At 39.5% G+C, this 12,487-nt stretch overlaps 1 protein-coding gene across 3 annotated transcripts in view; it reads right to left on the minus strand.

The window, feature by feature from the left end:
• Nucleotides 1-12,487, minus strand: part of GRID1 (glutamate ionotropic receptor delta type subunit 1) — a 767,244-nt gene that overhangs the window by 31,997 nt on the left and 722,760 nt on the right. The window lies entirely within an intron of this gene.

The following is a 12,487-nucleotide window of genomic DNA, read 5'->3' on the forward strand; positions in this document are numbered from 1 at the left end:
TATAAAGGAAAAAGAAAAGTCCTAAGTTGGAAAAATCAATGCCTCTTTTCTCAAAATCTGCAATTGTACACTATCAACAAAACTAGGGACTATAAACAACCTTGTCAGTAGGGCAAAGGGACACATTGATTTTCAATGATTTGTCAAAATTTTAAATTGTCCAAAGACCATGATAAACAATAATCTAATCTGAGTTATTCCATGGGAAAAATTAAGAATGACCTAAAAGAAAGAGCAAATTGGTGTGCCTGGATACAAAATAGATTACAAAGGGAAAAGAATACAGAATGAAGAATGCCATCCCAGGAAATTGAAACAACTTAAGAATACATGAATTCAGGTTACACAGATGACAAGCATACATGTGGTCAAATAGCCCATAAAGCACAGGAAGAGGACTGTGCAGATACTCCCTGTGTGCCATGTAAACACATATGCACACACACACACACACACACACACACACAAGAATGTAAGCTTGACCATGCATGTCCTGTTTGCTCCCCTAGCATGATGTCTGGCATAGAGTTGGTGCTAAGTAAATATGTGTAAAGTGATTGAATAAAAGATGAAAGGATGGCAAGTAGAATCTGGGAAGCCAGGAACCTTGGTCTTGGCTTGACTGAGCTGCTGAATGGGGCACATCCTGTTTGCCCCTCCAGGTCTGCCCTCCACCCTTTTCCACCCTGAAGTCTCTTCCAGAGGCTTCACAGACAGCATCAATGGGCACCCTTGGCCTCAGTTTCTAAAATTCAAGAATAAATAAAATACTAACAAAACAACAATCATGACAATAAGCACCATTTGTTCAAGCAAATGTTCTCAAATTCAGAAGCCATAAGGATCACCTGGAGGGCATTTTAAAACACAGACTGCTAACCTCCCTGTTGCCCAGCTTCTAATTCTTAGATCTGGAGTAGAGTCCAAGAAGGTACATTTCTAACAAGTTCCCACATGATGCTGGCGGTGTTGGAACAAGGCCCACCCTTTGAGAACTACACTGTTAACATATACTTTTTAAGGTTTTTTTGTTGTTTTGAGATGGAGTCTTGCTCTGCTGCCCAGGCTCACTGCAACCTCCACCTCCCAGGAACAAGTGGTTCTCGTGCCTCAGCCTCCCGAGTAGCTGGGACTACAGACATGTGCCACCACACCGGGCTAATTTTGGTATTTTTTAAAAATTATTTTATTTGAAGGTGTGGGATACATGTGCAAGATGTGCAGGTTTGTTACATAGGTAAACGTGTGCCATGGTGGTTTGCCACACCTATCAACCCATTACCTAGGTATTAAGCCTCACATGCATTAACTATTTATTCTGATGCCATCCCTCCATCCCCCAATAGGCCCCAGTGTGTGTTGTTCCCTTCCCTGTGTCCATGTGTTCTCATTGTTCAGCTCCCACTTATGAGTGAGAACATGCAGTGTTTGGTTTTCTGTTCCTGTGTTAGTTTGCTGAAGATAATGGCTTCCAGCTTCCTCCGTGTCCCTGAAAAGGACATAATCTTGTTCCTTTTTATGGCTGTAGAGTATTCCATGGTGTATTAATTTTTGCATTTTTAGTAGAGATGAGGTTTCACCATGTTGTCCAGGCTGGTCTTGAACTCCTGACCTCAAGTGATCCTCCCGCCTCAGCCTCCCAAAGTGCTGAGATTACAGGTGTGAGCCACCATGGCTGGCTCTTTCACATCACTTCTAATCTTTACAATAACTCTGATAAGACTTGGTATTATTATTCTTATTATTCAGGAGCCCATTAATTTTCCCAAGATCTCACAGCTGGTAAAAGATGGATACGAGAGCCAAATCCAGTTCTTTCAGACCCAAATCACATTCTCCATTCACTATGCTATGTTGCCTTTAACGGAGCGTTTGACTTTACTGAAACAAAGTTTGAGACCCATGAAACTGTACCCTGAGGCCAAGGTGGCTTTGCTGTCTGAAGCAGCTTCCTCTTAAAGTCTCTTTAGCCATAAAGGGTTGCTGGGAACTGGCAACACGAACTGTGCTGTGAGGATAGAGAAGCAAAATTGCATGCTATCCCAATTAATATTAACGAACATCCCTTCATGTGCTGGGAGACTGTCTCCAGGGGCTTATGTGGAAGAGCCTCATCCTCTAACTCCATTTGTGGCTAAGTATTCCTTTATAGCCTTTGCTAAAATGTCAGAGCTCACACAACAGCCTTGGAGCACTTTGAGGAGCTACAAAAGAGGTCACATTCTGACCAAAAAGATACAAATAGACTCTCACTCCTCACAGCTGAACAAGCTGTGGGCTCTACCTGTTGGAATTTACAGCTTTGTAAAGTCAAAAGAACCATAAAAGTTTACTGGTAGAGGGCTGGGCGAGGTGGCTCACATCTGTAATCCCAGCACTTTGGGAGGCTGAGGTGGGCGGATCACCTGAGGTCAGGAGTTCAAGATCAGCCTGACTAACATGGAGAAACCCTGTCTCTACTAAAAACACAAAATTAGCCAGGCGTGGTGGTGCATGCCTATAATCCCAGCTACTTGGGAGGCTGAGGCAGGAGAATTGCTTGAACCCAGGAGGCGGAGGTGGCGGTGAGCCAAGATTGCACATTGCATGGTAGCCTGGGCAACAAGAGCGAAACTCCATCTGAAAAAAAAAAAAAAAGTTTACCAGTAGAGGGGCTTTATAGGGGTAGTGGGGGAATTCCTGCACAGCCCTGATGGGGCACCTCTCTCTCTCTCTCTCTCTCTCTCTCTCTCTCTCTCTCTCTCACACACACACACACACACACACAGACTACAATTTCAAAATATAGGACCCAGAGCAAATCTTAATATCCTCATGTTGTAGAGTGAGGAGACCTATCAGCTGTTTATTGGAACACCCCATCCCGGTGGAAACCACTACTTCTACTCAAATATGTTTTATCTTATTGATGATGACAAGATAATGATGACAATGATAATAACAGTAGTAATAACAAAAAGACACAAAAATGGTAGAAAGAGACAGCTAATTTTCAGGAAAATAATTTAGTTTTTTGAGTTTTGCATTCCTTATTTGCAAAATGGAAACACGCCACAAAAGGTCCTCAATGGTGAAGATAAAGTGCATAAGCACAATGCCACACATATTAATTTCTTTGTGAATGTTATTTTCTTCATTTTCTCTTCCCTCTTGCTCCTGAATAAACATTATGCCAATAAAGTGGAAATAAAAATAAGCTAAACAAAAATTGCCAACAATCTGGCTGACATGATAAATCAAAATTATTTTCATCAGAAATTTCTTCTTGATTTTAATGTAATCAAATAACAAAACAATTCAGTTCAAAATGTAAAAACTTAAGTCATAAAACCCAAAGCAATAATATTCAATGGAACAAACAGAATGGAATCAGCCCACATTTACAGCCAGCACTAAGGTGAAGCGTATCAGACCTGGGTACAAAGCAAATTACAGGGCAGAGGAAATCTGAAAAAAAAAAAAAAAAAAAAAAAAAAAAAAAAAAAAATCAGATTTAAGAGAAGTCAACATCCTCCCACTTCCTCTAATAAGAAGTTTGAAAATAATCAAGGTTAGCATGGTGGCATGGATATTGGTTTGATTCCAGAGCTTACTCTATCAAATTATAAAAATCGTAAAAGAAAGTAATTGAAGAATTCATAATGAGATTTGCTTGGCAATGCTCAAAACCCAAAGCAGAATAATTTAATAAGGGAGGCACAGTGGGGGCTTTCCTTGACATTTGGACTGTATTATCCCAAACCAATCATCACCAAACAGAATTAAACAGCAAGGAGTTATAAAGGGGCCAACTCAGTCAATTGTATGGCAACTGGCTCTAGTAAGACTGACTCTGCCACCCAGGCCCAGGGCAGAGGACCCCCTGCCCTCCCCTGCCCCCTCCTTGCCCTTACTGCAAGTGGACCCCAGCAATTTTGCTGCTCACTCATGTTTAAGAAAGATGCATATGAATGCTATTTCTATCCACTCTCATTTCTTACTCATTGAACATTTACTTTGATTTTTGAAAGGTTAAGAGACATTGAGTAAGTGCTTTATCCATGCCTACCTCTGCCCTCAGCCAGCCCTGAGGACAAATAAATAAAAGGCAGGCCTCACTCTAGAGAAGCCCCAAGTCTAGCAGGGCTGTGACAGAGCAGGGCACTGAGGGTTGGATGGCATCTGGTGAGGCTGCACTCTGGGATGCACTGTGTGGTAAGGGGAAAGGGAAAGCCCAGGGAAGGCTCAGGAGACGTTAATGCTTCTGTTATGGCCTGAGGGATAACCAGGAACCAGCCTGGCAGGCAGAGAAAGAGACTGGTGCTCCAAGCAGTGTGGGGGAGCTGAAGTTTCATTCTGATCACGAGTTCCTTCCATTTCTGCAGACTGTCACGGGGTAACGACAAGGGCGCTGGAGTGAGAAGAGTTCAATACTGACTCAAGCTTGATTGTCAGCAAGTCCCTTGCCCTCTTGGAACTTCAGTTTCCTCATTAATGAACTGGTTGTGCTGAAGCACAATAGACTTGATGCATAGGAGAAACTTAACCTCACACCTGATCCATGCCAGGTTTCTCTCATGGTAGCTGTTGTGATTAAATTAATCTCCTGATTGTCCAAACATTGACATAAGGCCCCAGTGGAGGAAAGGAAGACCCCGGGTAAAATAAGAAAGGATACAAAAATCTTTTACTTTTGAAATAATATACTGTCCCAAGTCGGTTTTTGTCTTCTCTTCTAACTCAGTTTTAGGAGGAAAAGTGTCATGTCCACTTTTACATATTAACTGAGTTCAGCACTAGTAAATGAGTTGATGAATAAATGAATGAATAAATGGATAAAAGACAAAATACTTCACAGAGTAAATCACTGCAGAAATCTATATTTAAGGAAGAAATTTACATGTCCATCACTTCTGATTATTGAACAACCACAGACCGCTAAACATTCATGATCTTATTCAATTTCCCCAATTAGCCACAGTTTATAATGGCAACGCTCAGGAAAAAAAGATTGAAAAGAAAATGATTGCTGTTCCACTGTAGTCCCCAGAATTATAAAGCAAAATAAAGCAAAAATACATGCATACACAAATACCTATGTACAAATATAAACAGAAAAAGGAACAAAAAATCACAATGAAAGATATGAGAAAGTAGAAAAATACTAATTTATTTTTTAAATCTTAAGATAAATCACAAGGAGTTGATGAAAAAAAATCCACTGACAAATAAATATTCTTTTGATCCCAAAACTAATAATGTAATTCATTCAAAGCCCTGCTTTTGGTGATATTCAGTAATACTTCATCAAGGGCTTTAAATGTTTATATCCTTTTTGGCACCATAATTCTACTTTTGAGAATTAGACCTACAGAAATAAATGTAGTAACTGAAAAACATTAGGCATAAAGATGTTCATTACAATGTTATTTATAACTGTAAATAACTGGAAATGACCCAAATGGCAATCAAGAAGGGAATGTTTAAATAAAATTTTTACATCAATTTACATCTATTTGATAAAATACTAGTCACTAATTTTTATAAAGTTTTACCACATTGTCAGAAAAATCTTTTTTATAAAGTTTTACCACATTGTCAGAAAAATGCAGGATGAAATATTTTTATAGCATTATAATTATATAAAACGTTTGTAGAAATTCTAAAAAGACTAGACAGAAATATACAAGAGGATTCTTGGAACTGCATTTAGGTGGTGAAAAAAGAAATATTTTAAACTTTTCTTAATGGGAACTTATTGCATGTAAATCATAAATGTATAACCTAAAGATTTCCTCTCAAAACTGCTTATTATTTTAAAAGTTGATATGGACTGGGGGAGATTTGAGTGGATCTGCCGTTGGGTGGACTGCAGAGTCAAAGCATGTGAAAAAGGTTTAGGCACATTTTAATTGGTCAAGGCCTATAGAACTCAGGAGGCTGAAGCCCAAGACCATGGGAGGCATATTGAAGACAGCAACTGTGAAGCAGTGAAAAGACCACTGCCCTCATTCTCCTACAAGGAAGCTACACATTTAGTAGAAATAAACTACTGCTAAAGCTACACATTTAGTAGAAATAAATGTGGGTTTTGTTCACATGGAGTTCAACTGCTTTTTCCTGCCTCTCTAATTTCCTTTATCTTCCTGTACCTTTTATTTCTTGCTTGCCATTTTGCTCTCACATTCTCACACTTTTATCTTCAAATCAGAAAAGGAGTTGAGGCTTATAGATTATAAAATATGTGTTCCTAACATGACTATCTTGGATAGCTTCTTCTAACTTCACTAAGCAGAATGTATCCCCGCTCTGGGCATCCATATTCTTTCCCACATTAAATCAATTGCAGCCATTTGCTGTCCTCTAGAACTTAATTCCTTGACAAAAAGATTAAGTCTGGGACTTCATATTTTGAACTAGGTGATAATGAATACACAACATATAAAAATTCACAGGGTGGGGTTAAAACAGTGTTTAGAGGGAAGTTTATAGCTCTAATACTTATATTAGGAAAGAAAACAAGTGTAAAATTAATGATATAAGTTTTAACATTAAGAAGCTAGAAGAGGTAAGATAAAATTATAACCAAAGTAAAATAAGAAGAAAATATTTTATGCACAAAAAAGTTGAAATCAATAAAATATAAAAACAACAGTGAAAATCAGTGAAGACAAAAGTTGGTATTTTTGAACAGAAAAACCATGCTCATAGATTGGAAGATTCAGTATTATAAAAATATAAGTTTTCCCTGAAATGATCCTTATATTAAATGTAATAACGATCAAAATCTCAACAGGCATTTTTGAAGAAATTGACAAAATGATTCTAAAATTCAAGTGGAAATGTAAAGAATCTGAAATTGCCCAATCTTGTAAAAGAAGAACGAAGTTGAAGGACTTACAATACCTGACTTAAGGAATTATTTTAAAACTTCAATAATCAAGATTTTTTTATTGGCATAAGAATAGTTATATGGATCAATGGAACAGAATAGAGAGTCCAGAAATAGACCAACACATACATGGCCAGTTGACTGTCAATCAAGGCATGTAGTCAATTGATTAAATACAAATTATTTTAATAATGGTGATAGGTCAATAGAATAAAATGAATAGGCAAGTTACAGACTAAGAATTATATTTATAGTACTTATATTTGATCAAGGACTTCTATCCAGAATACATAAATTAATGAATATAAATCAGCAATGAGAAGATGGAAAACTCAATAAATATTAACAAAAGACTTAAGCACACATTTTATGAAAGAAGATACATGGATGGCCAATAAGCACATGAAAAAATGCTCAGCATCACTAGTCCCCAAAGAGAAGCAAATTAAAATAATAATCAGATTTCTGTTCATACCCACTAAATTGGCTGCAACCAAAAATACTGGCAACACTAATGCAGGATAGGACATTCAGCAACTGAGACTTACAAGTATATAAGGAGTATATTACCAGAGGTGATGCAAAGTAGCATAACCACATAGGAGGTAGTTAGACAGTTTCATAATGACCCAGGAATTTCACCCTTTCAAATTTAGCAAAGAAAAATGGAGACATATTTCAACAAAGTACTTGTATAATATTGTTCATATTGTCATATTTATGGTAGCCCTGAATTGGCAACAACTACAATATATGTTAATTGGAGAATAAATAAACAAATCAAGGTTTATTCATACAATAGAATATCATTCCCACACACACAAAAAAAGAAGTACTGATATGCACAACTCCATGAGTAAATCTCATATACATTTTGTTGGGTGAAAGAATGAAACACAAATACATATATTCTGTATGATTCCATTTATATTAACTACAAGAGCAGGTAAATTTAATGTGTGGTGCTAGAAATCTGCAAGCGGTTGTCTCTGCAGATGAGGAGAAGTGTAAAAAGTGACAAAAGAAAAGTTTTGCAGGTAATGGAAATAGGTATCTTGTTTTGGGTGATTATTACAGAATTGCATAAATTGTCTAAACTCATGAAATAGACACTATATGTGTATTTCAATTACACTTCATAAAAGACTAAAGGCTGTTGCCTTTTTAAAAAATCTTTTTCACGGTGGCTCACGCCTGTAATCCCAGCACTTTGGGAGGCCGAGGCAGGCAGATCACCTGAGGTCGGGAGTTTGAGACCAGCCTGGCCAACATGGAGAAACTCCATCTCTACTAAAAATACAAAATTAGCTGGGCATGGTGGCACATGCCTGTAATCCCCGCTACTTGGGAGGCTGAGGCAGGAGAATCGCTTGAACCTGGGAGGCGGAGGTTGCGGTGAGCTGAGATCACCATTGCACTCCAGCCTGAGCAACAAGAGCAAAACTCCATTTCAGAAATAAATAAATAAATAAAATCTTTTTCTAACATATAGTAGATGCTAAGATAGTTTGCTGATGCCTGCTGAACATATACCTTGTGCTACAATCGACACTGGATGCTTTAGACCCTATACATTGGTATACTTGCAACTAATCTGGACAGACCTTCCGCAAGTATCACAGATGGTACAGAAAGGTGAACACTTGTTCAAAGCCACAGACTAGATGGAGCATAACATTTAAACACACATTTTCTAACTCCTAAAAGGAAGATGCTACTCAAACTACATTTCTTGAATGGATGAGTAAGTTCATAAATGAATGAATAAAGAGAAGATAGCATCCAAGTTGCAAAATAGATATAGGGTCTTTTGAGCAGGTACAAAAGATATAGAGATGAATGATTATCCAATGTGAGTGGCTGAGAGGGAAGGAGGCTTACAAAATCCCCAATCCATACTCACGTGGAAGCAGAGAAAGAACAGAATTTCTTGGATCATGGCTACAAGGGCTCTTGCTGTTATAGAGAGCAGTATTTTTGCTTTGCACTACACAGGGCTATCTAGTCTACATCCCCTTCCATATCTTGGTCAAACTCTCTTGATCTTTGAATCTAGCATCCCAAAAGTGCACAGAAGTGCCCACCCATATAAGCCTCGCCCTACTTCTCAGTAGGAATTTCCAGCATGCCATGGAACCAGGAGCTGCCACATATGAGGCCAACTTCCTCACCTTGCCCTTTCCAAATGAAGGGTTATCTGGGTGCCAAAGTTCCTGATCCTACTGTGGAAGACTGCCATCCTTCTAGGGATCAGCTTCTCTGCCACAGGTGTAGTCCCTGACACTAAGCAGAGATTGTGTGCAATGAGAGCAACCCTGTTACAGAGCAGAAAGGAAGAGAAAGCGAATAAATGTTGGTGCTAAGAGGTGATGCCCACATGCAATCTAGTGCAAGAGCAAGCATTAGACCAGGAGTGGAAATAAGATTTGCGGGCCCATTTTCTTCCTGCATTTGCATTCACACTTTATGACTTCAGCTATATTTACTGACAGAAAAACACCACCTTTTGTTACCACCAAATGCTGGCCTAAAAAGATACTTCCCTCTGAAAAATACTATCTCCAGCCACAGGGTCTGAAACAAGCTACTCATCTATTTATTCAAAGGACTGAATAAGCTGTGAAGATTGACATTTAAACTATTAACGCTATATTCTACTTGACAGTGTTATTAAATATTAGGTCTGATTTATGGAAAGGCTTAATCAACTGGTGATCCAGGTCAGCCCTGGCACTGGGCAGAAATTGGGTTATGCTGGATGTTGCTTGATGAAGTTGATCAAGCTAAAGAAAAAAAATCCCATCAGCAATATTAAAGTCTGACTTCATGTGATGAAGTTATTATCATATAAATTTGAACCATTTGCCAGGCCAATTCTGCATCTCCAAGTTTCTGTAATGGATATTTTAATAGTTTGAAAATCAAAAGATAAAGTCACAGACTTCAATAACCTTTGCTATGACACATGGAAGGAGCAGTATGGCTGCTAAACATGGAAGTCAGGCATATATCTTGCCACTTTGGTGTCAGAGAGGGAAGGAAATAGAGGCACAAGCAAAATGTACACAAGGGGGTGGAAACACATTGAGGTGTAGAAAAGACGAGATTACCACCCCATGGGAAGAGGCACGAGTGGAATGAGGTTTTGGTGACCATGCCACTAATTACTCACATCTGTGTGAACCTTAGCCAAGTCACTTAGTTTCTCTGAGGCTCAGGTCCAGTTTCTACATCTTGGAGATAATAATCAAGTAGTCGGTTTCAGATGAAAGTATGAATGCATGTAAATGATCTGGCCCAGTGCCTGGGATGTAGAGATTGCTCAATAGATTTCAGAGGGAGGCCAGGCCAGACCAGCAGTAAAGCTGGGTCTCAGCGCAGTGAGGGAGAAGTTTCCAGGCCACCAGAGACAGACCTAGAGGACAAAAAGGGGCAGAGCCCGGATGCTATTCAACGGTGCAGAGCTGGATGATGCACTACTAGAGGCACCTATGAGCTGTTAAATGGTGCAGAGCTGCAGCAGGAGCTTCTTAGCAGAGATGCCTGTGCACTATTTGATTATATAGAGTTAGAGGATATGCTCCCTACTAATGGTGCCTGTGTGCTATGAGATGATGCACAGCTACAGGCAATGTCCCTGGGTTGCCCCTGTCCAGACCAGGAGTCCTCAAACTTTTTCTATAAAGGGCCAGATAATAGATATTTTAGGCTTTGTGGGCCACATATCTTTATCACAACTACTCAACTCTGCTGAAATAGCAGGAAAGCAGCCATAAACAGCATGTAAATAAATGAGTTGGGCTGTTGTCCAATAAACCTTTATAAAAACAAGCTGTAGGTCAGATTTGACCAGGAGTCAGAGTTTGCCAATCCTTGGTCTAGTCTTTCCTTAGGCCTGATAAGTGCATGTGGCTGAGAGAAACGGAAGCAGCCTCTCTCCTCTCTCTTTGTGACACATCTTTCAGGACCAGGAAAATCTTCTCCCTTACAGAAGGTTATCAAGAGACAAGCCTGACAGGAACCCTGGAGCTATTTCTCTTGTCCCTTCCACCATGAAATCTAAAGGGGGTAACCTGCTAACTGATGACAGGAATCTTGTCTCCGATTTATCTGCCTCTGCTCAGTCAGACAGCAAACAGATGACTCATTCAGGAACAATCCTGTATTTATTGAGACTTACTGGGTGCCAGGCAGGTTTGTTGTGAAAATGGTGTGTTGTCGTCTCTTAATAAATAAAAATTCCCTCCTGTTCCAAATTCTTTCATCTTTGCCTCATCAAAGCCTGACAAGGTCTCACTTGTCCTTATCTTAGTGGCCACTGGCATGGTAAATCCTTTATTTGCATCTTTTGCTACTGATTTTTTAACATTATTGTATTCATGAGTAAGACTCTATTTCCAGAGGGTTAGTGATTTCCTAAGTGCCACCAATGGACAAGGAGTAGCTAGAAAAATAAGGAAGTGTTTCTCTAATGACTCATCTCCAGGTTTATTACCCTCCAGAGGCTCAATGATGTGTATTGGCATGAAGGAGTGGATCTCAGAGGCGAGCCAACCATGACATAACCCTTCTCCAGTTCTGATACCGTGGACAAGTGATCACTCTAAACAATTCCCCACCTAAATTGGTTTCATGTCATTAAAAGCCTTAGGACTCCCAAGGAGAAAATAACAGCATACCATCCATACCAACCTCCTTGACTTTTGCAGCAATTAGACATTGCTCCACTACCAAACACTCCCTGAAAATGGAGCTGAGTCATCAAGGAGCAACTGAAAATCAGAAGTGTGATTATCTGTCAATTGCTAAAGAAGTTTCCAGGAGAAGCCCCTCGGTGGGCTTCTCCTCACCTTTGCCAGGCTGCCTACACTGCATGGCAGCAGACTCTGTTTGGGATTTGGAGAGGCTGTTCCTCCCTGAATACTAGGCCCATAATACCCTACTTGCTGGATTTGTTCTGTAGTTTCTGGATTCAAGTCGTCATCCTCACTTAGGGCACAGCCATCTCCAGACTGGTCTGCTCTCTGGGCTCAGGGATTCACAAGGTTACTGAAGCCATAGTCTGGGGGCAGGGAGCAGAGGGGCCGCTCCATAGGAGTAGGGAAGAAGACAGATTTCAGACAAGCATTTAAGTCCAGTAGTCATCCAAACAGGCACACGAAGAAGGAGGATTTGAGAGTAAATCTGAGCTTTTCTTCCACTAAAAAAAATGCAGCACACTTCATTGTCTGACAATACTATAAACTCACTTTTATGACACTAGTTATAAAACCCTTAACATTTGTCTAGTGCTGGCAGTCAGTTTTTTTTTTCTTAGAGATCCAAATGCAAGAGAGAGATTTGTGATCCCAAAGCCAGCTTGGGGTTCATAAAATGAAGGTACCATAAAACTAATCCATCTTATGTACTAACAAAGATTAAATTCTATACCATGAAGTGATAGGCATTGATAAGAAATCCTTTGTTTGCATCGTTTGCTACTGATTTTTTAACATTGTTGTATTCATGAGTAAGACTAAATATCACCAGACGGTGAGTGGTTTCCTAAGTGCCGCCAATGGACAAGGGGTAGCTAGAACAATGATGAGGTGTTTCTCTAATGACTCATCTCCAGGT

The sequence above is a fragment of the Homo sapiens genome, chromosome 10 (assembly GCF_000001405.40).
Source record: "Homo sapiens chromosome 10, GRCh38.p14 Primary Assembly".
NCBI lineage: Eukaryota > Metazoa > Chordata > Mammalia > Primates > Hominidae > Homo > Homo sapiens.